Here is a 25,583-nt window from a genome sequence, read left to right as displayed (position 1 = left end):
CTTTCTCTTTTTCTTTCCTTCCTTCCTTCCTTCTTTCCTTCTTTCTTTCTTTTCTTTCTCTCCTTCCCTCTTTCTCTCTTTATTTCTCTTGCTCTGTCACCCAGGATGGAGTGAAGTGGTGTGATCTCGGCTTGCTGCAACTTCTGCCTCTCGAGTTCAAGGGATTCTTGTGCCTCAGCCTCCCAAGTAGCTGGGACTACAGGCACCCGCCACCATGCCAGGCTAATTTTTGTATTTTTAGTAGAGATGGGGTTTTGCCATGTTGGCCAGGCTGGTCTCGAACTCCTGACCTCAAGAGATCTGCCCACCTCTGGCTCCCAAAGTGCTGGGATTACAGGCTTGAGCCACTGTGCCTGGCCCACATTCTTCTTCCTTCCTTCCTTCCTTCCTTGCTTCCTTCCTTCTTTCCTTCCTTCCTTCCTTCCTTTTTTTTTTTTTCTCTCTCTTTCTCTCTTTCTTTCTTTCAACAGAGTCTTGCTGTCACCCAGCCTGGAGGGCAATGACGTGATCTCGGTTCACTGCAACCTCTGCCTTCTGGGTTCGCGATTTTCCAGCCTTAGCCTCCCAAGTAGCTGGGACTACAGGTGCCCACCACCACGCCTGGCTAATTTTTGTATTTTTAGTAGAGATGGGGTTTCGCCATATTGGCCAGGCTGGTCTCAAACTCCTGACCTCCAGTGATCCGCCTGCCTTGGCCTCCCAAAGTGCTGGGATTATAGGCATGAGCCATCATGCCCGGCCCACATTCTTCTTTCTTAAAGGTCCTGATGCAGAGGGTGAGGACAATTAGTTTCTCCCAGGAGGAGAGGCCAATGAGACTCATGGTAATAAGAGTGACTAACATTTGCTGAGCACTTGCTGCGTGCCAGCTACTGGATTGTACATTTTAGGTGTATTATTTCATGCAATCCTCACTCCTCCCTGCAAGGAGGTGGGTTCTACTTCATTACCCCATTTTATGGATGAGCACATTGAGGTCCAAGAGAAGCCAAGAAATCCAACCAAAGTCACACCGGTAATAAGTGGGGAAGCTGGAATTTGAACTCTTGCAGCCTGACCCATAGGGACATCTACTGGATAGGTTTAAACTACGCATGTAAGGTTTTTGGTTTTTCCCCAAAGAGTAGGAAGCGGCCATGAAGGGCAAAGGATGAACATGATCTTTCGTGTGTAAATGATGGTGAATAATTCCTCCCTATGGGGATATTGTGGGGAATATCTTGGTTCATGGATGGAAAGCCCCTGGACAAGGGCCTGGAGGAAGAGACACATGCAAGTAAATTACCCTTTAAAGGAGGCTCAGGCTGGGCCAGAGATCTTACACATGGGCATCTACTGCCATCCTGGGGCCACTGTGCTGTATGACACGCTGTGGGTTCCCGTCTAGTTAAATTCGGGAGGGGCAGGGCTGGTCTCTGCAGTGAAAAATGGCTGCCTTCAGAACTGGGCTAGGAGCAAGGGAGTGGTTCTCAGGGAGGGGGTGGTGTCCTGGGGGCAAGGACTGCAGAACCCAGGAGTGCTAGGTCTGGGGACATAGACCTGAATAAGACACAGTCTTTGCCCATAGACTGATTAGTGTTAGGTAGTGTTAGTGAGACCTTGTCTCAAAAACAAACAAACAAACAAACAAACAAAAAAACCCGAGTCATTGTAGGAAGCCGAACTTCATGGAGCCCTTAGTAGGTGCCAGGCTCTCTCTGGGCTGCTTGCTTCATGAGCACATTCCATTTAATCCTCACAGCAACCGAGGAGTCTTGTCAGTGTCTGGGGAACGACAGGACTCCTGGGTCCAAACCCAGTTCTGCCATTTCTTGGGGACCTCCCTTTCCGGAGCATCAGTTTCCTCGGATGTAAAATGGAGACAGAATAGAAGCTGCCTCCTGGGATTGTGGAGACCAGAGGACATAGCACAGGGGGCTCTAAAGACCGTATGTGGTACATTGTCAACAGGCAGTCTGTGTCCAAGAAGCGGGCTGCCAGTTCTGAGCCACAGAGAAGATTAACCAAACAGCCAAGTGCAATGAAAAAGACCTGGGTCCCAGATCAATTGTTGTCAGTAAACTTGCTATGTGACCTTGGTGAGTCATTTCCCCTCTGTGAGCCTCTTTTGCCAGCCATACAATGTGAAGTTTGGACAAAATCACTCAGATTTTTGGCTATGGGGGCTACAGAAGAAGATCTAGAAGGCTTGCCTCCATCCATCCCCAATCCTGAGCATTAGTAGAAGGAGATAGCAATTCAAGGCTCCGTTGAAATAATGAGGTGGAGGCTGGTGTGATCCGTGAGTTGCAGAGGAGCCTCGCTCCTCAAAGTGTGGTCTTTACACCAGCCTCAGCATCACCTAGGAGCTTGTTAGAAATGTAGGCTCTCAGATACCACCCCGACTCACTGGCTCAGAACCTACCATGTAACACAATCGCTAGGATGCTCCTACCCACAAGTAAGTGGGACACACACTGATCTGGGGCACTGATTCTCAACCTTGGCCACACAGTCGAATCACCAAGGAGTCTTCAAAGGCTGCGGCATCCAAGCTGCGCCTCTGGGGATCTCTGCAGTGGGACCCAGACACCAGTGGTTTTTAAGAGCTCTCCAAGTAACCCCAATGTGCAACCTCATCTAATGTTGAGAAGGAATATATGTTTTATCTTTTGTATCAACTAAAATCAATAGAAAATCTTCTAGAATGTTCACAGAGAGAGATCTGATATCTGCCATAGGGGCCAGGTAGAAGTTTGACATAAAAGCCAGGTCATGGCTGGGAGTGGTGGCTCACACCTATGTCGACAAAAAGAGTCAAACTCTATAAAATACTTGAAGAGAAATATTAGGTAAATATGAGTGACCATGGCCCATGACACAGCCCTCAGGAGGTCCTGAGATTATGTGCCCAAGGTGGTTGGGGTGCAGCTTTTTTTTTGTTTTGTCTTGTTTTTGAGACAGTCTTGCTCTGTTGCCCAGGCTGGACAGCACTGGCATGATCTCAGCTCGCTGCAACCTCCGCTTCCCAGGTTCAAGTGATTCTCCTGCCTTAGCCTCCCAAGTAGCTGGGATTACAGGTGCACACTACCACGCCTGGGTAATGTTTTGTATTTTCAGTAGAGACAGGGTTTTGTTATGTTGCTCTGGCTGATCTTGAACTCCTGAGCTCAGGCAATCTGCCCGCCTCGGCCTCCCAAAGTGCTAGGATTACAGACGTGAGCCACCGCGCCTGGCTGATTTTATACATTTTAGGGAGGCATGAGACATCAGTCAAATACATTTAAGATGTACATTGGTTTGGTTTAGAAAGGTGGGACAACTCGATATGGGGGCTTCCAGGCTATAGGTAAATTTTAAAATGTTCTAGTTGACAATTGGTTGAGTTTGAGGACCTGAGATCAATAGAAAGGAAATGTTTGGGTTAAGATAAAAGACTGGGGAGGCCAAAGTTTTATTGTGCAGAAGAAGTTTATAGCTAGCAGGCTTCAGAGAGAATAGGTTATAAAATGTTTTCTTATGGGACTTAAAAGGGTTCCTGACTGTTGATTATCTCCTGGGTCTGCAAATGGAAGAGGAAAAGGAGGATTCTCTACAGAATGTAGATTTTTCCCACAAGAGTCAAACTTTGCAGGGCAATTTCAAGATATAACAAGGAAATATATTTGGGGTTAAACTATTTTGATTTCTTTCCTTATTTGTTATGTGATGTTATGCTGGAGAAGTATGATGAGGCACGTTTGACCCCTACTCCCCGTCAAGGCCTAAACCAGTCTTTCGGTCTTTCAGGTTAAATTTTAAGAATGTGCTGGCTGAGGAGGAAGTCCATTCAGACGGTTGGGGGCCTTAGAATTTTATTTTTGGTTTACACTTATAATCCCAGCACTTTGGGAGGCAGAGATGGGAGGATCACTTGAGGCCAAGAGTTTAAGACTAGCCTGGGCAAAAAAGGGAGACCCCCATCTGTACCAAAAGCAATTAAAAAATAATAATTAGCTGGGCATAGTAGTGCATGCTTGTAGTCTCAGATACTCAGGAGGCTGAGGCAGGAGGGTCGCTTGAGCCCAGGAGTTGGAGGCTGCAGTGAGTTTTGATTGCACCGCTGCACTCCAGCCTAGGTGACAGAGCACAACTTTGTCTTTTTTTTTTTTTTTTTTTTTTAGACAGAGTCTCACTCTGTCATCCAGGATGGAGCACACTGGCATAATCTTATCTCGGCTCACTGCAGCCTTCACCTCCCAGGCTCAAACAATGCTTCAGCTTCAACCTCCAGAGTAGCTGGGACTACAGGGCAACACCACCACACTTGGCCATTTTTAAATTTTTTGTAGAGACGAGGTCTCAGCCCAGGCTGATGTCGAACGCCTAGGTTCAAGCCATCCTCCTGCCTTGGCCTCCCAAAGTGCTGGGATTACAGGCATAAGCCACCATGCTCAGCTGTTCTTGTCTTTAAAAAAAAAAAAGCCAAGTCCATGACAAGAAGCCAAAATTTATGGAGCACTTACTAGGTGCCGGGTTCTGGGCTGCCTGCTTCAAGAGCGCATTCCATTTAACTTGCACGCTAACCAAGCTAGTATTATTGTCCCCATTTTATAGATGTGAGGCAAAGAGGTTATGATCCCTGGTCACACAGGCTCACACTGGCAGTGACAGACTAAGATTTGGACCCAGGTTACCTGAATATTTCACAACTAGGCTGACCCCAGTGGTCCTTAAACTGGGTTCCTTTGTGCTCCAGTTTCCTCAGAGGTGCCTGAGGAGCTTGTGTGGGGTCAGACCAAGCCTGGAAATCTCTCTCCTTTCCCTTCCCAGCTGGAAATGACCCTGGTGGCCTCCTGACATCCCTTTTCCACACTGGGTTTGGCAGACACTCCTTTTGGAGAGAGTGTTCCTTTCTTCACCAGCCTGGAGCACTCGGGTCACATGATGTTACCCAATGCTCCCTGACAGATCTCCCCCGCTTCCCCGCTGCTTGGGGACCCCAGAAGCTAATCCCCATGGCAGCAGGCACTCTGAGGGATTAGCACCGGGGAAATTAGGCGCCACATCTGCCAGCCCCTGGAGAGCTTGGTAAAGCCTGTGCCTCAGAGCCCAGGAAGCCATTCCTGTCCTCTGGAACACAGGGGACTCCCAGAGGCACTGTCAGCCAAACTGGGGCCCTAACTGCCCTGTTCTTGCTGGTACCTTCTGGAGAGGGTAAGTTGTGGCCAAGAGCCTGAGGGCCTGACCAGATTGTTCTCTGCAGGCTGGGGGTGGGGAAGAGGAGCTGGAATTCAATGCGGGGCACACAGGGTAACCAATGGTCCCATTTGCCTAGGACTGAGGGGTTTCTGGGAATGCAGGACTTTCAGTGCTAAAATCAAGACAGTCCTGGACAAACTGGGATGCCGGGTCACCTGGCAGGGGTTTCTGAGCTTGCTGTTTCTCTCACCTGGGAGGGGGAGCCATGGGAAGAGGAGGGCTGCTTTGATCCCCCGCATCCTCGTCTACCCTCCTTGTTTTCTAGCTTTTCTCTGTCCCCCTCCTCTTTTTCCAGCCCCTCAGGACCTCTTTTTGCCTTCACTCCTCTGACTCAGTTTCCTGCTTACGGGATCTCCTGTGGTGTAGACCTGAATCCTCAAAGAGCCAGAATCTTCCATGCCTTGGAGAGAATGAAGACCCAGGTGAGGCACAGCCTCAAGAAGCTGTCACCATGTGTCAGCTTCTGACACATGTCTGACCATGCCACCGTCCTTCTGGCTTCAAATATTGGGCTAAATCCCCCCCACGTTACCTTCATCATCATCATCATCATCATCATCATCATCATCATCATCATCATCATCATCTCTAGAGCTTGCACCTGCAGGCCAGGAACAGTTTCAAATGTTTTACATAAACTCACTGAATTATCAAAACAAACCAGAAACTAACTCCTCTTCCTTTTTACATCCCCAGAGGCCTCTGCCTGGAGTGACCCAAGCTCATTCCTAACTACCTGTTCAATGACTCTCTCCTCCTCCTCCCTCCCCCTAGGCTGAGCTCATCTGTATCTGTGAGCCCTGAAGCCCTTTATTACACCTCTAGCTACCAACTGGTGAACAGCTCTCTATGGGCTTTGCATGCACTATCTTATTTATTCTCAACTAAACCCTATAAGATGTAGGAACAATTGTTATCTGCATTATGCAGATGAGAAATCTGAGACTCAAAAGGGTGAGGTCATTTGTCCAGAACTAGTAACGGCAGAGCCAGAGTCAAGTCCTACTTCCCTGGCCCCAGGCCCTTGTGTCTGATTATGCCACTGTCCTTCTGGCTCCTTGGGGGCAGATGTGGCCCAGAGCACAGCAAGCCCTCGGGGATTGTTTTCTGAATGAATAACTGGACAAAGAGTAGTTGTCCCAGAGTGGGCCGTGAGCATGAGGAAGGAGGTGAGGGTGATTGGGGCACAGAACACCTGAGAAGGAGCAGGGGTTGGGGGGTGGTGGAGCCGTGTTATAGGTGGGGTTTGGGAGAGCCTGGTTCTTCCTGGGCCCTCCCCTACTGCCAGCAATTTCCAGCTGGGAAGGGAAAGGAAAGAGATTTCTAGTGGCTACTGCAAGTCAAACTGTGAGCAGCTGGCAAGCAGCTTAGAGATTAAATACTGACCCATCTTCGGGTCTGCTGGAATAAATCCTGAGATTGGAGACAGACGAGATGAGGCTAGGCCCCAGAGGAGGGCTACAAATTGGGGGTGTAGAGATCCCAGCTGCATTTTGAGGAGGAGGGGGGTGGTGCATCTTACAGAGCTTGAATCTCAGCTCTGCCATTCACTGCCCATGGACTCAGCAAGTCAATTAATGCCTCTGAATTTTATTCTTCACCTAAAAATAAGCTAAGGATCTGCTGGTTACACCTTAGGTGCCAGTTAGGGGATAGCAGGCTGCCTTCCCACCAAGGGGTCCTCACTGCCCCTGCAGCTCTGTGTTCATGCCAGGAGGGGAGTATCTTCCATATGATCCAGTGGCAATATCTGAGAGCCTTCCATTCACTCCTTTGTATCTGGGGTTACTCCTCCAACAGGTAGAGAATCCCAATGCTTTTGGGATCTTTAATTGCTTTATTTTATAACAATTGAGGTATCATTTACATGAAATAAAATCTGTGCAGTTCTAAGAGTTGTTTTTTTTTTTTTTTTTTGAGACAGGGTCTTGCGCTGTTGCCCAGGCTGGAGTGCAGTGGCATGATCATAGCTCACTACGGCCTCTAATTCCTGGGCTCAAGCAATCCTCACACCTCAGCCTTCCAAGTAGCTGGGACTACAGGTGCATGCCAGCATGCCTGGCAATTTTTTTCTATTTTTTTGTACAGGCAGAGTCTTGCTATGTTGCCCAGCCTGGTCTTGAACTCCTGGACTCAAGTGATCCTCCTGCCTCGGCCTCCCAGAGTTCTATGACTTTCAACAAATGTATAAAATCCCATAACCACCACCACGATAAACATATAGCACAGTTCCATGACCTCCCCAAAGTCCCTTCTGCTCTTTTGTAGTCTACCTCATCCCTACCTCCAGACAACCATTGAGTTGTTTTCTGTTCCTATCATTTTGCTTTTTCCAGAATGTTCTATGAGTTGTATTCTATAGTCTGTAACCATTTAGTCTGGCTTATTTCACTTAGCATCATGCTTTGAGGTTCATCCACATTATTGCATGTATCAGTAGCTCGTTCCTTTACATTGCTGAGTAGTATTCCCTTGTACAGACGTACTATAGTTTGTCTATTTACTCACCAATTGAGGAGCATTTGGGTTGTTTCCAGTCTTTGAATATTATGACCAAAGATGATTTCAGTGAGAACCCTAGATTCTACAGCTGAAAGACACTTTTGAAATCACACAAGATTTCCAGATGTAAAAGTAAACTCTTTACAAGTAGCCAACCCTCTTCAACACCTGGAGAAGTAGAGGCTCAGAGAGGGGAAGAGACTTGTCCAGAGTTACAACTGACTCAGGAGTGGAGTTAAGATTTGAACCCAAGTCTTTCAACTTGCAGAACCATGTAAAGTTCAAAAGAATTTCCTGAGAACCTGCTAGTGCCAGGTGGGGTACTAGGTGTCCAAGGCATAAGAGCCAGGAGGGAATTCTCTGCTGGTGCTGGAGAGAATCCTTACCTTGTAGGGACCCAGACAAAGAAGCCAGTAGTAGCCAGTTACCATGAGCGGCTCTGCCTGGGGAAGAATGAGAAGGCTTCACAGATGCCTATGGGTGTTAAGGGAAGAACACAGTTTTTCTGATGGAAAAGGATAAAAGGAAACCACAGCCCCAAGGAATGGCAGGTGCAAAAGTACAGAGAGGGGCAATGATGCGGGAGGTGGGGGCATAAAGACACAGGGGGCAGGGGAGGGGCAGGGAATGGGCTGGCGGAGTTCGCTGGAGTCGGATCATAGAAAGTCTCTCTTGCCAGATTGTTTCCTGTAGAACAGCGTCTGGCACACTGTGCTCAACATGTGAGAGATCTTTGTTGTGGAAGAGAGTGCAGGGTTGGACAGGGAGGGATGGAACATAAACTCAGCAAGACTCTCCTGGAACAGAGCCCAGAAGGCAGATGTCAGTATGTACAGACTGTTGATATACTTCAGAGTTGGCATATGAGTCAGTGGGGGACAGGTTGGTGTATTTAATAAATAGTGCTGGACTATTGATTATCCAAATGGAAAAATAAAATTGGATCCCTACTTTATTCTATAACCAAAAATTCTTTTGTGTGTAAAAGTACAAAAACCTCTATTTCTGACCTCTGTGAAAAGAAAGATTTCTTAAGCACACACACGCACCATATACACAATGCAAACCAAAAAGACAATACTGATAAATTTGGCAACAACCAAAATCAAAACCAAAAGCCCTCCTATTCAAAAATACTGTAATAGTTGGCCAGGCACAGTGATTCATGCCTGTAATCCCAGCACTTTCAGAAGTCAAGGTGGGAGGATTGCTTGAGCCCAGGAGTTTGAGACCAGCCTGAGCAACATAGTGAGACCCTGTCTCTACAAAAAATGCAAAAACTGATCACATCACTGCGCTCCAGCCTGGGTGACAGAGTGAGACTGTCTCAAAACAATCCCCAAATACCGTAATAGCTAACAGGGCTTACAATGTGTCAGACAATGTTATTTTTATACATCAACTCATCTAATCCTTACAAATTTATGAGTTAGGCACTATTATCGTCCCCATTTTACAGGTGAGGAAACAGAAGCACAGGGAGGTTAAGTGATTTTCTTAAGGTCACGCAGTGGTAAGTGGCTGAGCTAAGATTGCAAATCAGGCAATCTGGCCATGGATTCACCACTACACTATTCTGTCTCTCCACAAAAGTTATCAACACAGAGTGAAAATCAAGCCACAAACAAGAGTATATGAAGAACTCTAATAAGTAAAGAAAAGAGAATAGAAAAAGACCAGGCAAGGGAGAACAGTCCAACTGCAGAAAATCAAACCCAAATACATACAATAAATACATGAAAAGGTATTCAACATTATTAGTCACCAAGAAGATGCAGATTAGAAATATTAATAGCAATGAGAATCAAAGGTGGGACGAGCATAAATTGGAATGACAACTTTAGAGAGGAACAGAATAGTATGTGGCTAAGTTGAAGATGGCTGTACCTTGCTACCCAGAAATTTCACTTCTAGCACAGGATTCCCAACTGGACTGTGAAATAGTCACGTTTTTAAGGTAGTCTGGCCCCGGGCTCTAACTACTACACTACCCAGTATGTTTATACAACAACACACTCCACAGAAGTCAAAATGAATAACCCAGAATTGTAGTTAGCTAACTGAATAAAAAGCAAGTTGCAGGAGGATTATACAGTATGAAATCATTTATTTACGTTCAAAAAAAACAATACTACATGCTGTTTATGGAAACATAAACACATAGTAAAAGAATAAACACGTGCATAATTATGATAAACACCAAGATCAAGCATGGGTGTTACATTTGGGGAGAGCAGGAAGGGACTGAGATCCATGAAAGGTACACAGAGGACTTCAACTCCACCTAGGATGTTTTATTTTCATCCAGTCAGGCATTTAACAAATATTTATTAGGGTCTGCTATGTTCCAGGAACTGCTTTGGGTACTGGGAATACCTCAGTAAACAAAACAAACAACAATCCTTATGGGATGGGGAAACTGAACAGACAAAGTAAATAAGCAAGGACATAGCATATTTGAAAAATGTAAATATATGAGAAAATATGATAAAATGTTGAGATTCAACAAAGTCGAGTGTTGAGTGCCCAAGGATTCATTACATTATAAGTCTGTCTGTCTGTCTCTCTCTCTCTCTCTCTATATATATATGTATGGAACCATTATATATATGTGTATATGTGTGTGTATATCTATGTATGTGTGTGTGTGTGTGTGTATATATATGGAGAGAGAGAGAGAAACAGGGTCTTGCTCTGTCATCCAGGCTGGCATGTAGTGGTGCAATCATGGCTCACTGCAGCCTCGACGACCTCCCAGGTTCAAGCAATCCTCCCACCTCAGACTCCCGAGTAGCTGGGACCACAGGTATATACCACCACACCTGGCTAATTTTTATTTTTATATTTATTTATTTTGAGACAGGGTCTCACTCTGTCATCTAGGCTGGAGTGCAGTGGTGTGATCTTGGCTCACAGCAACCTCCACCTCCCAGGCTCAAGTGATTTTCCCACCTCAGCCTCTTGAGTAGCTGGGATTACAGGCACACACCACTATACCTGGCTAATTTTTGTATTTTTTGTAGAGGCGAAGATTTGCCATGTTGCCCAGGCTGGTTTTGAACTCCTGGGCTCAAGTGATCCACCCGCCTTGGCCTCTCAAAGTGCTAGGATTACAGGTGTGAGCCACTTCACCCAGCCAATGTTTAATTTTTTTGTAGAGAAAGGGTCTTACTATGTTGCCCAGGCTGGCCTCAAACTCCTGGGCTCAAGTGATCCTCCCATCTTGGCCTCCCAAAGTGCTAGGATAATAGGAGTGAGCCACTGGGCCCAGTGTATTTTTTTCAGTAAGCTTGAAATATTTTCTAATTGTAACAGGCCAGGAGGGCTTGATGACTGGCTGGAGGTAGGGATTGAAGGAGATAGAGGGGCCCAGGCAGACCCTGAAGCATGACTAAGTGGAGGCAGGTGCCATGAGGTGATGTTGAAAATAAGAGAGAAGGAGGAGGGGGTGAAACAAGTGAGTTTTCTGTTTTGGATGTTGAGTTCCAGGTGCTTGAGGACTTCCAGGTGGAAATGCTCGGAAGGCAGTTGAAATGGGAGTCTGAAGTAGAGGGGAGAGAGCTGGGCAGAAGAGAATCGGAAACCATGAGCATGTGGCTGGTGTCCTTGTGCATGAGATCACCTGGGGATTGTGTCTTTCAGGGAATTTGTCCACATTTAAACTGTCAAATGGATTGGTACAAAGTTGTTCATAATATTTCTCTGTAAGATCTGTAGTGATGTCTCCTTTCATTTCTCATTTGGTAACTCACCACTGAGGGATTGCGTGTGTACTGAGGACAGAGGAGGGAAGGGGGAGAAATACCACGTTTGTAGGACAGAAGTGGAAGATGTGCCTTTGAGAAAGGGAGGTAGGCAAGGAGGAGTTAATGCAATGTATTTGGTTAACACCCATCTCCTCGTAAAACTGTAAACCTCCAAAAGGCAGGAAAGAGTCCCTTTCTGTTCATCAGTATATCCTCAATATCTGGCTCAGTGCCTAGCACATAGGAGGCAATCAATAATAGCTAACACATATGTAGTGTTACCGTGTGCCAGCTACTGTTCTAATTTATTAACTCATTTAATCCTTGCAACTGAATACAAGTAGGTACTATTATTTTCAAGGAATTGTATTGAGATATAATTCATATGACATAAAATTCACCATTGTTAAGTGTACAATTCAGTGGTTATAGCATATTTACAAGATTGTGCCATTAGCACCATAATCAATTTTAGAACATTTTCATCACCCCCACAAAAACTCATAGCCATTAGCAGTGACTCTTCATTCCTTGCTACCCCCATCCCCTGGCAACCTGTAATGTACTTTCTGTCTCTATGGGTTGTCTATCTAGACATTTTATATAAGTAGAAGAATGAAATATGTGCCATACTTGCAAGTTTTCTGAGGCCTCCCCAACCATGTTGAACTGTGAGTCAACTAAACCTCTTTCCTTTATAAATTACTCAGTCTTGGGTATGCCTTTATTAGCAGCGTGAGAACAGACTAATACAGGAGAGTTGAGGAAAGCTTCCTGGAGGAGGTGGCATTTCAGCTGGTCTTACGATATTTCACTAAGTCCATAGGGGAACAAGGTACAGCAAGCAAAGGGGTGGGTGCTCTTGGAGGGCAGAACTATTGAAAGAGTCACACTGGGAAGGGCATTGGTTTCACAACTGTGAAATTTATCCAAAGCTGTGGGCTCTTGTGATGTCTGGCTAACTTGAGGCCTAGGAGGGGCCAGGGTTAGGGTCCCTCTCTTCCCTCTGACTGACCCCCAAGGGGACTGTACCTTATGTCCTTGCTCTCCCAGGATGGCTGGTGGCCCAACTTGCTGAAAGTGAAGAAGAAGTGGCTCCTCCCGGCCATCTGCAGCTTCTTCTGCCTGCTCTCAGTGGTCATGACTGGCTGCTTCCTGTGGCAGTATCACCTCCCCAAGCTGAAGACCGGTGAGTGCAGAGACAGCCTTGAGTTCCTCCCCATAGCCCCCTGGGTCCTCCTGGGCTTTGAGCTGCCACCCCTGATTCTAGTGTGTAGGGGAGGACCATAAGATTTAGACTCAGAAGCTCTGGACTCCATTCTGAGTCCAGCTCTCACTAGCTGTGCATCTTTGGGACAGTCTTGTTGCCTCTCTGTGCCTCGATGTCCTCGTGTATAAAATGAGGATCCTGATGCCACTGGGGTTTCTTCAAGACACCCAGTTTGGGGGTAAAATTCAAGGACACCAAAGGAAGAGCAAACGGTGTTTCCCTTCCTCTGCCTTTGGCCACCATGATGGAATCTCCAGGCTCCAGCCCCCTTTCAAGACCTTCCTGCAGCTGTATCTAAGACCTCAATAGGAACAACTCACAGGTGTTCAGGGGCAGCAGCTGCCAAGCCTTGGAGCCTCTCCTTCCTGAACGGGTCAAGGCCCAATAAAGGAGCCACCACTGACAGTGATAACTACCAGGCCCTTTGTTTGCCAATTAAAGCAGGAGGAGCACCACTGTGGACACTAGCCCCTACCTGGGTCCCAGGCTGAGCAAAGCCTAGGCTCTAGCTGGGACCACCCTATTCTGTGAAACCCATGTCATGGGGTTGTTGAGAAATCCTCCCTAAGGTTTGTAATTTTCCTGTTTGGGTCTGCGTCAGTTATCTATTGTTAAGTAACAAACCACCCCAAAGCCTACTGGCTTCAGACAAAGCAAGTGATTATTTCCCATGATTCTGTGGGCTGGCTGGCAGCTCTGCTGCTGGTCTAGCTTGGGCTCTCTCTGGTGCACTGGGCAAGTCGGCTTGGGGGTCGGGTTGAGGGGGGCGGTGTCTCCCTCAGCGTGGACTCCTGCTCTCAAGACCGCTATCCCAGACCTGTCCACAAGGTGGCAGTGTTCGCAGGGAGTAAGCCCCTTAAGGTTTAGCCTAGAAAGGTCGCAATTTGTTCCGCCTCATTCTTTTGGCCAAAGCAAGTCACAAAGCCAGCCAGCTTCGAAGGTGGAAGGAGCTGACAGAATTTATGGTCTTATGGCTGAGCACGGTGGCTCATGCCTGTAATCTCAGCACTTTGGGAGGCCGAGGCAGGTGGATCACCTGAGGTCAGGAGTTCAAGACTAGCCTGACCAACATAGTGAAACCTTGGCTTTACTAAAAATACAAAAATGAGCCGGGCGTGGTGGTGGACGCCTGTAGTCCCAGCTACTCGGGAGGCTGAGGCAGGAGAATCGCTTGAACCCGGGAGGCAGAGGTTGAAGTGAGCTGAGATCGCAGTGAGCTGAGATCGCACCATTGTACTCCAGCCTGGGCAACAGGGTGAGACTCTGTCTCAAGAATTTATGGTCATATGAAACCTACCGCAGGGACCTTGTCTCAGTTTTGGGGTGGAGTCTCAGGGCACAGTGGAAGACGAGGAGGATGTATTAATAGTCCTGGAGGATGCTCATCCCCCTTCACACCCCACTCCAGCCTTAGAGGAAGAGGCTTGGGTGCTGCTGTGATGATATCACAGCCTGAATCCTGTCCTGCCAGCACTTCACCTTCTCGCCTGAGGTGCCGAGGAAGCCACACACCCGGACAAAGGCAGAACAGACTCAGGCCCCCAAAGCCCTGATGCTCAGCTCTGGTGAGAGAATGAGTTGTCGCTGTGGTTTAGGCCTGGGTCCTAAGTGGGGCTCGAAGTCCACCCAAACACATAATCAGGACGACAGCAGGTCAGACAGACAGATGTGGCTGAGCCTGCCCCACGCAGCCAGAATGGTCTAAGTCCACTGACCACAGGAGATGGGAAGCTGGTTAAGCAAGAGAGAGGGGAGTACAGTGACCACCAACCAGGAGCTGTGGCCTGCAGGGCTGTGCCTCCTCCCCAAGGGCACACTTTGCTCCCTAGGCCCCTCAGGGGCTAGGGCTGGTCTCTGGACCCTGATATCCCCCGGCTCGGCTCGGCTGGGGAGGGCTGTCCTTGAGGCACTGCTCTGGCCTTTGCTGCCACTTTCCCCCTAGATTCCTATCCTGATCTCTGTCCCCTCCTCACCATGTGATGTTCCCTCCAGGTTCCCTGGGACCAGAGGAGACCTCTGCCCCTGTGAGGATGTGTCCCCGGCACCCTGAGCCCGTGCCCCTGGCTCACCCACTCCCCGTGTTGAAGGAGGCCCTGGAAAAGGTCAGTGATGACCCAGGAGGAAACTGGGCATATGGGCTGGGCCTGGGTGATGAAGGGGAGGGCAGTCCCTCTGTGCTGGCAGTGGCATTCATTCATTCATCCGTCCAACATGTATTTCTTGAGCATCTACTCTGTGCGAGGCACTATGGATATGGCAGGAAGAAGACACTGACCTGCTCTCAAGAAATTACTAATCTGGAAGCGAGAGGAACGGTGAAGATACCAAACATTTATAATCCTGGGGCAAGAGTGAGGGTAAGAAAAGTTTAGGGGACTTTGGGGGCACAAAGGAACAGGCCTTAGGGTCAGTTCCTCCTTCTGGAGGAAGTGGTGTCTAGGCTGAGATGTGAATAAGTAGCAGACACCCAGATGACATGTGTGTGGTGAGGGACCCTGGGGATGGAGAGGTGTGCTCCAGACAGATGGAACAGCACGTGGAAGGGCCTGGAGGCTGCAGAAAGTATATGACACATACAGAGAACTGAGAGGCCATAGGTGGGAAGTAGGGAAGCTGAGACAGGAGAGGATGACAGAGCCCACATTGCAGAGGCCACCGCGATATGATTAAACACTCCATGCTCCCCAACACAAAATTTACCATTGCAGGATGGCCAAACCCTAGAGGCAGGTGTCAGTCAGCTCTAGTCTGTGCCAGTCAGAGCCCAGCCACTTGGGTCACCCACCATGGGAGACATGGAGATGAGTGAAACATGATCAGAAGAATATGAGCCGCAGCATGGTGGGGGAGACTCAAAACTATCATCCGAGGAATAGTTAAAGGGAAAGGGCTGTTGAGTGCTGAGAAGGGAACGTGTGGGCCAATGCAGAGACAAAAATCACTGCTTGCAAATACCTGAAAGGTTTTTGTGAAGGGGAGAGAGCAGAAGGGTGCTATGTGGCTTTCAGGAGTTATAGCAAATTTTCATAAAAGCAACAATAATAACCATGCTGCCTTCTGTTGAGCACCTGGAATGCGCCATTGCCATGTAACCACTTACATGCATTCCTCATGAGTCCCTATCTATAGAGAAGGAGACAGAGGCTCAGAAAGGCAAAGTTAGAGCCAGGCGCGGTGGCTCACACCTGTAACCCCAGCACTTTGGGAGGCCGAGATGGGTGGATCATGAGGTCAGGAGTTCAAGAGCAGCCTGACCAACATGGTGAAAGCCTGTCTCTACTAAAAATATAAAACATCAGCCGGGCATGGTGGCATATGCCTGTAATCCCAGCTCCTCAGGAGGCTGAGGCAGAAGAATCGCTTGAACCCAGGAGGCGGAGGTTGCAGTGAGCCGAGATCGTGCCACTGCACTCCAGCCAGGGTGACAAAGCGAGGAAAAGAAAGGCAAAGTTAGTGCAGGGATGGGAAGTGGAGGTGGACCGAGCTCAGCCAAGGATATGTAAAATCACGTGGCAAGGTGGTCCAGCAGTTAATTAAGACGTAGGGGCCAGGTGCGGTGGCTCGTGCCTATAATCCCAGCACTTTGGGAGGCTGAGGCAGCCGGATCACCTGAGGTCAGGAGTTCAAGACCAGCCTGGTCAATATGGTGAAACCCTGTCTCTACTAAAAATACAAAAATTAGCCACACGTGGTGGCATATGACTGTAATCCCAGCTACTCGGGGGGCTGAGGCAGGAGAATCGCTTGAACCCGGGAGGTGGAGTTTACGGTGAGTGGAAATGATGTCACTAAACTCCAGCCTGGGTGACAGAGCGAGACTCTGGTCTCAAAAAACAAAAAACCAAAACAACAAAAAAAGAAGTGGGGCTGGACTTAGCACAGGGTTCCAATCTTGATTCCATCAGCCAGTAGCCACTTGGGCAAGTCACCTCATATCTCATAGGCTCTCATTTCTCATCTGTAAAATGGGCAGAAATTAGCACTGACTCACGAGGATGAAAGGAGACAATGTATGAAAATCACTTTATGCCATGCCTGGCACATTCTAAATGTCCAATAAATGTCAGCTGTTATCGTCATCATTGCACTTCATCATTGAAAATGATGAGGTATTTTCAATAAATGTTCAGGCTAGGTGAGGCGGCTCACACCTGTAATCACAGCATGTTGGGAGGCTGAGGTGGGAAGACTGCTTGAGGTCAGGAGTTGGAGACCACCCTGGTCTACACGGTGAGACGCCGTCTCTACAAAAAATTAAAAAATTAACTGGGTGTGGTAGCATGTGCCTGTACTTCTAGCTACTCCACAGGTTGAGGCGGGAGGATCACTTGAGCCTGGAAGGTTGAGGCTGCAGTGAGCTGTGCTTGAGCCACTGCACTCTAGCCTGGGTGACATGGTGAGACTTCATCTAAAAACAAATAAAATAAATAAATAACCAAACAAACGTGCAAAGAGGGCCTACAGGCACTGTATTAATAGTGAATTCCCCAACACTAGGGGTTCAGGCTAGGCCTATTGGAGGTTTTTTAGGGCGTCAGACATGGGTTTGACTAAAGCAGTAGCTGGTTTTTTTTTTTTTTTTTTTTTTTTTGAGACGGAGTTTCGCTCTTGCTGCCTGGGCTGGAGTACAGTGGCGAGATCTTGGCTCACTGCAACCTCCGCCTCCTGGGTTCAAGTGATTCTCCTGCCTCAGCCTCCCAAGTAGCTGGGATTACAGGCGCCCGCCACCATGCCCAGCTAATTTTTTGTATTTTTAGTAGAGACAGGGTTTCACCATGTTGGCCAGGCTGGCCTTGAACTCCTGACCTCAGGTGATCTGCCCGCCTTGGCTTCCCAAAGTGCTAAGATTACAGGCATGAGCCACCATGCCCAGCCTTAAAGCAGTCGTTTTAACCCCCTCTCCTTTTTTATTTTGCTAAGAAACTGTTTCTTTGAGAAAACATCTTATGAAGAAGCCCAACAGTGGGGGCCCCAGCCCATGGGGCATAGCTGGGAGGCTCACTGGGGTGCTGCATGCAGGGTGTGACTATGGACGAGGGTGGCTTTGCAGATGATTACTGAGGGTGAGGGCAGGGGGGCCTGTCACTGCACCCGTTCTTTTCCCTCAAGGTGGACCAGATCCTGCGCCAGGCAATGTCTGCCCCAGGCGTGGCTGCCATGTCTGCAGTTGTCATCCACAATGATACTGTGCTCTGGACAGGGAACTTTGGGAAGAAGAATGGCTCAGACCCGGCTTCTGGGGCCCCCAATGAGTACACCATGTACAGGTCAGCTGGGTGATCTCTAGGGTCCTGTGGAGGGGTAAGGGATGGGAGGGCAAGGGAGACCTAGGAGGTAAGGATACTGAAGAGAATCATGGCTGGGGTCTAATCTGCCAGGGCCTATTATGAAGTCTTGACAGTTTTATAGAAGAGGAGACCGAAGTCCAGAGAGGACTGAAGTCCAGTGAGTTCCCAATGTTACATCACAGGGGTAAAAGGTCAGGAAGGAATCCCTTCTGGAAAGAACCTTAGCCCTAAACCTCCCAAACTAGAAAAGGCTACCTTGTGCCCATCCCCCCAACCCTGACCATGTGCCACAAAGGAACCATAACCAGTTCCTAGGTCCTTGCCCCAGGTCCCTGTCAAGTGGCAGCAGTGGCCCAGATGCAAACAGATGGGGACATTCTGTTGCATATCTGGAGTCTCCCCTTCTGCATGCTGCCTGCAGGATCCTCAAAGTTCATGATGCAGAGTGAACACATTTGTTCCTGGGGACACTGTGGGTTTTACAGGAGTCCTGAGGGAATTGCATTTAAATTGCACCTGCTTTGTGCCAGGCATGGGGCCAACAGTTATATGTGCTAACATGTACTGAGCACTTACCACCTCCTAGGAACGTAGACAGGCACTTTGCATGCACAACCTCGTTCCATTCTTTTATTAATACAACCGGTGAAGCAGACAATGAAACTGAATCTTAGATGGGTCTAGAAACTTGCCTAAGGCCACATGGCCAGTGAGAGGCAGAGACACCATCCAAACTCAGGTCTGTCCCTGAATGGGAAATGGCTGGAAAAGAGCCTGGCCCAGGATATCCATCCCACCTCAGCCCCTCGGCTTCTGGTTACGTTCTCAAGCATCCCAAAGGCAGCTCCACAGAGGCTGGTTAATTTCTGTTGGAGATGTTGACTTAAGCAGGGATGCAGTGCTTTTCTAGAACACTAAAAAGTTGCAGGATGGGGGCAGGAGGTGGGTTGTGGGGCCAACAGGATGCCCTTTGACTGCTTGTATTCCCAACATTATCTAGGATCTCCAGCATCTCCAAGATCTTTCCTGTCCTCATGCTGTACCGTCTGTGGGAGGAGGGCATCGTGGCCTCCCTAGATGACCCTCTGGAGCGGTATGCCAGCACCTTCACCATTAACAACCCGCTGGGCCTGGCATCAGCCGAACAGCAGGGCCTGATGGACGGGCTGGAGCAGGTGGGCCCCGCCCCAAGGCCTTCACCTGTCACCCTTCGAAGGATGGCCAGCCAGCTCTCAGGTGAGTCTCAGAACTGACTCAGGCTGACCCAAACCATTTCAGGTGGGGAAGCTGAGGAACAGGTTCTCATCCAGCCAGGCTGGGCTCACTCTTGGCTCTGCTTCCTGAACTGGCCCTACGTCCCTCTCATGGGATGTGGGTGGTGGGCCAGGGAAAGAAACATCTCTCGAGGTAAAAGCTGAACTGAAGCCTGGAAATTTAGACCAAGTAGAAACATCAAGATGAGTTGGCAGGTCTTACCCATCAGTGCAGGTCAAAATGAAGTTGATAAGGCAAGAGCAAGTCAACGAGTCAATATGTGGCCAGGCTCAGTGGCTCATGCCTGTCACCCCAGTGCTTTGGGAGGCCGAGGTGGGAGGATCACTCGAGCCCAGTAATTCTAAGCCAGTCTGGGCAACATAGTAAGACCCCGTCTCTAAAAATTTTAAAAAATAGCCCAGGCATGGTGGTACACACTTGTAGTCTTAGCTACTCGGGAGGCTGAGGTGGGAGGATCACTTGAGCCCAGGAGTTGAAGGCTGCACCGAGCTATGATTAATGACATAGTAAGATCCAGTCTCTAAAAAGAAAAAAAGTTTATATTTGTAAACAATTCTACACAGAAGACCTAATTTCCCTTAATATATAAAAGTCACCTACAAATTATTACAAAGACCAACAGCCCAGCAGAAAAATGGGTAAAGGAGAGGAACAGAATTGAGAGCTCACAGAAAATACTCTTAAGAATATTAAGGGCTGGGCGTGGTGGCTCACGCCTTTAATCCCAGCACTTTGGAAGGTTGAGGCGGGCGGACCACCTGAGCTCAGGAATTCCAGACCAGCCTGGCCAACATGGTGAAACGCTGTCTCTACTAAAAATACAAAAAATTATCTGGGTGTGGTGGCTTGCGCCTGTAATCCCAGCTACTCCAGAGGCTGAGGCAGGAGAATCTCTTGAACCTGGAAGGCGGAGGTTGCAGTGAGCTGAGATCGCGTCATTGCACTCCAGCCTGGGTGACTAGAGAGAAACTCTGTCTCAAAAAAAAAAAAAAAAAAAAAAAAAAAGAATATTAAGAAATATTAAAAGGTGCTCAACTTCATTCATAACAACATAAATGTAAATTAAAACTACACTGAGACATGTTTTCCCCCATCAGATTGGCAAAGATGAACATGATGACGCCCTGAGTTGCTGAGGTTGTGGTAAAACAGACCTTCTTACCCATCAATGCTGGGAATTTAAATTGGTGCAGCCGTATGGAGGGCAATTGGTAATATCACAATTTAAAACGTATGTCCCCCTTGACTCAGCAATTTCATTTCTAGGAAATTCTCTTACAGATGTACTCACCTATGTCTGGCATGGGGGATGTATAATACACAGTTGATCACTACAGCACTGTTTGTAATAGCAAAAGGCTGAAACAACCTAAATGTCCATCAATAGGGGAGTGGCTAAATGAACTATGACACAGCTGTACAATCAAACACTGTATAGACCTAAAAAAAGGATAATCATGTTCTGCGTGTACTGAGATGGAATAAGATAGAATACTAAGTAGGAAAAAAGCATGTAACAGCATATTTTGTATGCTACCATATAAATAATTAAAATAATATATACATATATAATGGATATGTGTATATGAATATGTGTAATGTACATATTATATAACACAAGTATGTAGTATATATTAGCTTATATATGCATCAAATATCTTTGGAAGGGAGCTAAAGAGATTGAAACATTAGGTTGCCTCTAGGGAGGGGAAATGGGTAGCTAGGGAGAAGGGTAAGACGAAAATTTTCCATTGTATACTCTTTGATTTCCTTTGAATCTTAAATCATGTAAATTAATTACTTATTATAATAAATTATTTTATAATCATAAAGCTATGATAACAAGTCAAGATGAAGTCGACAAGGTTGGGGGCAGGAGCAGGCTGGCACTGGAAGATGAAGCTGGGGCACGGGAATTGGGCAGGGCGGGATCAGGAACAGAGCAAGGCAGGTGCGGAGGGATTGCTCTGAAAGCTTCTGAAGGACCCTCTGTTGGTCTTTAGAGGGAGGGGTGCTGGGTTTTGCTGTGATTGACACAGGTAAGGGGGTGAAGACAGGTACTATCTGCCCTGCCCCAGACGCCTTTGGTCATATCTGCAGTCATAAACCCATCAACTCCAAAAGGTAGGAATCCCTCAAGTGCCCACCATGTCATCATTTTACAAAGTGTGTTCAGGCCTGAGTCTCAGTCAATGGATGTGGTTGGTGTCACTCCCACACACAGAACTGGGGCTCCTTCCTCCTCCTCCTCTTTCTCCTTCTCCTTCTCCTTTTTTTGGCAGGGTCTCACTCTGTTTCCCATGCTGGAGTGCAGTGGCATGAATATGGCCCACTGCAACCTGGCTTCCTGGGCTCAAGCAATCCTCCTGCCTCAGCCTCCCAAGAAGCTAGGACTATAGGCACGTGCCACTGAGTCCAGCTAATTATTTATTTTTTGTAGACATAGGGTCTTGCTATGGTGCCAAGGCTGGTCTCAAACTCCAGGCCTCAAGTGATCCTCCCGCCTCAGCCTCCCAGAGTGCTGGGATTACAGGTGTGAGCCACCACACCTGGACCAAACTCTTTTTTTTTTTTTTTTTTTTGAGATGGAGTTTCACTCTGTCACCCAGGCTGGAGTGCAGTGGTGCGATCTCAGCTCACTGCAACCTCCACCTCTCAGGTTCAAGCAATTCCCCTGCCTCAACCTCCTGAGTAGCTGGGATTACAGGCGCATGCCAAGACGTCCAGCTAATTTTTTTGTATTTTTAGAAGAGATGGGGTTTCACCATGTTGGCCAGCGTGGTCTTGAACTCCGACCTCAGGCAATCCGCCCACCTTGGCCTCCCAAAGTGCTGGGATTACAGGTGTGAGCCACCGCGCCCGGCCCCAAACTTTCTATAGTTGATGATAGCAATTATTTTTTGAGCAGTTAGTATGTGCCAGGCACCATACTAAACATTTTATCCAATCTAATCTAATCAGCCCTTGGGTACAAGGATTATTTCCCTTATATTACAGATGAAGGACTGGGACTCAGAGAGGCCCAGTGACCTGCCCAGTGACACACAGGCAGGAAGAGAAGGCAGGACTGGAGTCCACGCTAGGCTGATTTTCTTTTTTAAAAAACTGATTTGTTGTTGTTATCTCTCAACTCACGGAAGGTGGGGAGGGAGTGCACCCAGGGGCCCACCATCCCACCCTCAGCCGGGCCCGGTAAGTCTGACCACTGCTCCTCCCTAGGGCTGCCCAGAAGGCTGCGCTCCACTTCACTGCTGTGGAAGGGCAGCACCCAGGAGGCCCTGAACCTGCTCAAGGACGATGTGCTGGTAGTGGACCCGGGAACCAGGTGAGGAGCATACCCTGATGCCCAGCCTCATGTTAGGAGCCTCCTGGGGAGACACACCTGCCTGGCAAAGAGCCCACATCACCTCATCCTAGGTTGGCAGAGCCGGGAGAGACCTGCTCCCCAGCTGCAAAGGGCAAGACCTAGAGAGGGGAGGCCAGCAAGACAGGGGAGAGCTGGGCCCAGAATCCTGTTCTGTTTGAATGGAATGTTTTTTCCATTTACCCACTTAACATTTATTGAGCACCTACTTTGCCCAGAAGGTGATAAACACCCGGTTTGCTCCTCGTGGAGTTTGCACTCTTGTGAGGGAGACACCGTGAGCAAATAAGCAAGGTGAATACAGATTTTGCCAGGTTGGAAATAAACGGGTTGCTGACCAGATGGGGAGTGGATAGCTGGGTGGCCACTGAACAGAGAAGCCCCACTCTGGGAGCAGTGGGGCTGTGGGGCTGGACAGAGGACAGCTGGCACTCCCCAGCTTCAGGGGCCCCCTTCTGAGCCGCTGGTCAGTGACCCTTTTCCAAATTTGTCCCTCTGCTTCTCCAAATGCTGAACCTCAGGCCCCACTTCCCTTAAGGAAGAAATGATCCAGGAGATGCAGAGAGAGGAGATGCTTGGACATCTTCAGGCTGGAGTCCTCCTCTCAGCTCTGCAAATAACTATGGCAATGTGACCTTGGGTGGTGCACTTTATCTCTGTGAAACTCATCTAACTAATCTTCCTCATCTGCAAAAATAAGGAAGTTGGCCCAGAGTTCAGGAATGCCTAGGAGAATTTGTGAATTTTCACACATCCTTGCACCTTTCTGTTTTAGAGATTCTGAAACTGTATTTGCTCTGGGAAAGAAAAGAGGCCTCTTGCTGGTTACTGGTGTCTGCTACAGCCTGGAAGAAGGGAGGGGTGAGACCTTGCCTCATACATGGTCACTATCATTTTTGTTTCCCCAGAGCAGTGTAAGCCTTTAATTTTCCATTAGATAAGGTAAATCATACTAAAGTGTGAAGGACCAATAAGATTTGTGTGACAGCTTTCCCAGGTGCACCGCTGAGCTCAGCTCTCCTCCATCCTGCTGTATGACCCTGGGCAATTCCCCGCCCCTCTCTGGGCCTTGGTCTTCCCAGATGTAGAAGAGAGTCAGAGTCAGTGCTCCAAAGTCTCTTCCAGGTCTGACCACCTGGGATGCAGGGGAGCAGGTTCCTTCCCAGCCCCGCCCAGTCCCATGAAACTGGTGGCATTTCAGACAGCGCGGGCGGGTGAGGAAGGGCCCCGTCCCACTTGCCACTGCTCTCCTTCCAGATGCCATTACAGCACGCTGGCCTTCTCGCTCCTGGCCCACGTCCTGGCAGCTCACACCGCCCAGGGCGACTACCAGCGCTGGGTCTCGGAGAACGTGCTGGAGCCGCTGGGGATGGCAGACACGGGCTTTGACCTCACGCCCGACGTGCGCGCGCGCCTGGCCGCGGGCTTCTACGGCAGCGGGCGGCCGGCGCCACTCTATGACCTGGGCTGGTACCGGCCGTCGGGCCAGATGTACTCTACCGCCGCCGACCTGGCCAAGCTGGCCGTGGCGCTCCTGGGCGGCGGGCCCCGGCGGCTCCTGCGGCCCGACGCGGCCAAGACGCTGCTGGCGCCGCTGCTGGCCTGCCCGGGCGCCTACTTCGCCAACGAGACGGGCACGCCGTGGGAGTTCCACGCGCAGCGGGGCTACCGCGTGGTGCGCAAGGACGGCGATCTGGACGGCTACGCCGCCACCTTCTCGCTGGTGCCCCCGCTGCGTCTGGGCCTGGTGCTGCTGCTGGCAGGGCCACGGCCGCCCGGGCCCGACCTGGTGGCGCGGGCCTACGATGAGCTCCTGCCCGCCCTGGAGCGCGCCCTCCGGGAGGCCGAGCCCGGCCCGGCTCCGCCGCCCACCGCGCACCCCTTCGCCGGCTACTTCACCTTCGCCAACCTGACCTTCTACGAGGTGCGCGCCGGGCCGGCGGGCGAGCTGCGCCTGCGCCAGTTCGGGCCGCGCGTGGAGGCGCTGGTGCCTCCAGCGTTCCGCACCCTGGCGCTGCGCCACCTGCACGGCCGCGTCTTCCAGCTGCACGTGGCCCACGAGTTCCCCTGCGCACTGCCACTCGGCGACGCGTGGCTCTCGCTCGAGGCCCAGCACGGGCAGCTGGTCAACTTCTACCCCTTGGATCACCACGGGCTGTCACCCGGCTTCGACGTGCCCGGCCTCAACACGTACAGAGTGCTGCGGCTGCGGGGCAAGCCGGTGTTCAAGACCCAGTGACCCCGGGCTCTGCCTGGACCCCCCTGTCCCTGGCCTCCCAGCTTTCTAGAGTAAGGTTTGGAAGGGGAGCCTGTGGGAATGCCTGTTGGAGAACCCGGGTAGTTGGCAAAGTGGAGTAGGGTGATGCTACTCAAAGTGTGGTCTTGGACCACAGCCAGAAATTCAAATTTCTCCACATCTATAGGGGAGGAAGGATTAAGTACAGGCATTAAGAGTAAGCATTTAGAAACTAACAGGCAACCAAAAATTTAAGCATCGAAACAGTAGTTTTGTGCCTGTTGAATCTAAAACAAAATATGGGCTTGTATTTTGTCTTTTAAAAATAAACCTAAGCAACTGGGCGCGGTGGCTCACGCCTGTAATCCCAGCACTTTGGGAGGCCTTGGCGGGCGGATCACTTGAGGTCAGGAGTTCGAGACCAGCCAGGCCAACATGGTGAAACCCCGGCTGTACTAAAAATACAAAAATTAGCCAGGCATGGTGGAGGGTGCCTGTAATCCCAGCTAATGGGGAGGCTGAGACAGGAGAAACGCTTGAACCTGGAAGGCGGAGGTTGCAGTGAGCCAAGATTGCGCCATTGCCTCCAGCCTGGGCAACAGAGTGGGACTCCATCTCAAAAAAAAAAAAAATCAACCTAAGCCTGGGCAACATGGTGAGACCCCCATCTCTACAGAAATAA

At 49.2% G+C, this 25,583-nt stretch overlaps 1 protein-coding gene across 1 annotated transcript, besides 2 other annotated features; it reads left to right on the top strand.

The window, feature by feature from the left end:
* The first annotated feature begins 5,080 nt into the window (after positions 1 to 5,080).
* LACTBL1 (lactamase beta like 1) lies at positions 5,081 to 24,904 on the top strand. The gene is made up of 8 exons (NM_001289974.2): positions 5,081 to 5,175; positions 5,516 to 5,642; positions 12,522 to 12,657; positions 14,731 to 14,840; positions 17,848 to 18,005; positions 19,027 to 19,262; positions 22,521 to 22,626; positions 23,923 to 24,904. Exons 2-8 carry the CDS (start codon positions 5,631 to 5,633, stop codon positions 24,902 to 24,904), a joined length of 1,740 nt encoding a protein of 579 aa, NP_001276903.1. The 5' UTR covers positions 5,081 to 5,175; positions 5,516 to 5,630.
* Positions 13,015 to 13,515: an enhancer, noted in NCBI's record as "H3K4me1 hESC enhancer chr1:23290925-23291425 (GRCh37/hg19 assembly coordinates)". NCBI's record gives its function as "activates a minimal SCP1, AML or CMV promoter by ChIP-STARR-seq in naive H9 embryonic stem cells {active_cell/tissue: H9 hESC(naive)}" and the evidence as "EXISTENCE:reporter gene assay evidence [ECO:0000049][PMID:30033119]".
* Positions 16,455 to 16,630: a silencer, noted in NCBI's record as "fragment chr1:23287810-23287985 (GRCh37/hg19 assembly coordinates)". NCBI's record gives its function as "represses an EF-1alpha promoter that drives an FKBP-Casp9 reporter gene in an ReSE screen in K562 erythroleukemia cells {active_cell/tissue: K562}" and the evidence as "EXISTENCE:reporter gene assay evidence [ECO:0000049][PMID:32094911]".
* Positions 24,905 to 25,583: the final 679 nt, after the last annotated feature.

This window comes from Homo sapiens, chromosome 1, assembly GCF_000001405.40.
Source record: "Homo sapiens chromosome 1, GRCh38.p14 Primary Assembly".
NCBI lineage: Eukaryota > Metazoa > Chordata > Mammalia > Primates > Hominidae > Homo > Homo sapiens.
Note: the sequence above shows the minus strand (reverse complement) of the source record. Positions and strands in the feature narration are given on the sequence as shown.

What these genes read in the sequence shown, in the direction of transcription:
- LACTBL1 (NM_001289974.2), top strand. An exon ending in CCTCCCCAAGCTGAAGACCG is followed by an intron (nt 12,658 to 14,730) that starts GTGAGTGCAGAG and finishes TGTTCCCTCCAG; the next exon opens with GTTCCCTGGGACCAGAGGAG. An exon ending in AATGAGTACACCATGTACAG is followed by an intron (nt 18,006 to 19,026) that starts GTCAGCTGGGTG and finishes AACATTATCTAG; the next exon opens with GATCTCCAGCATCTCCAAGA.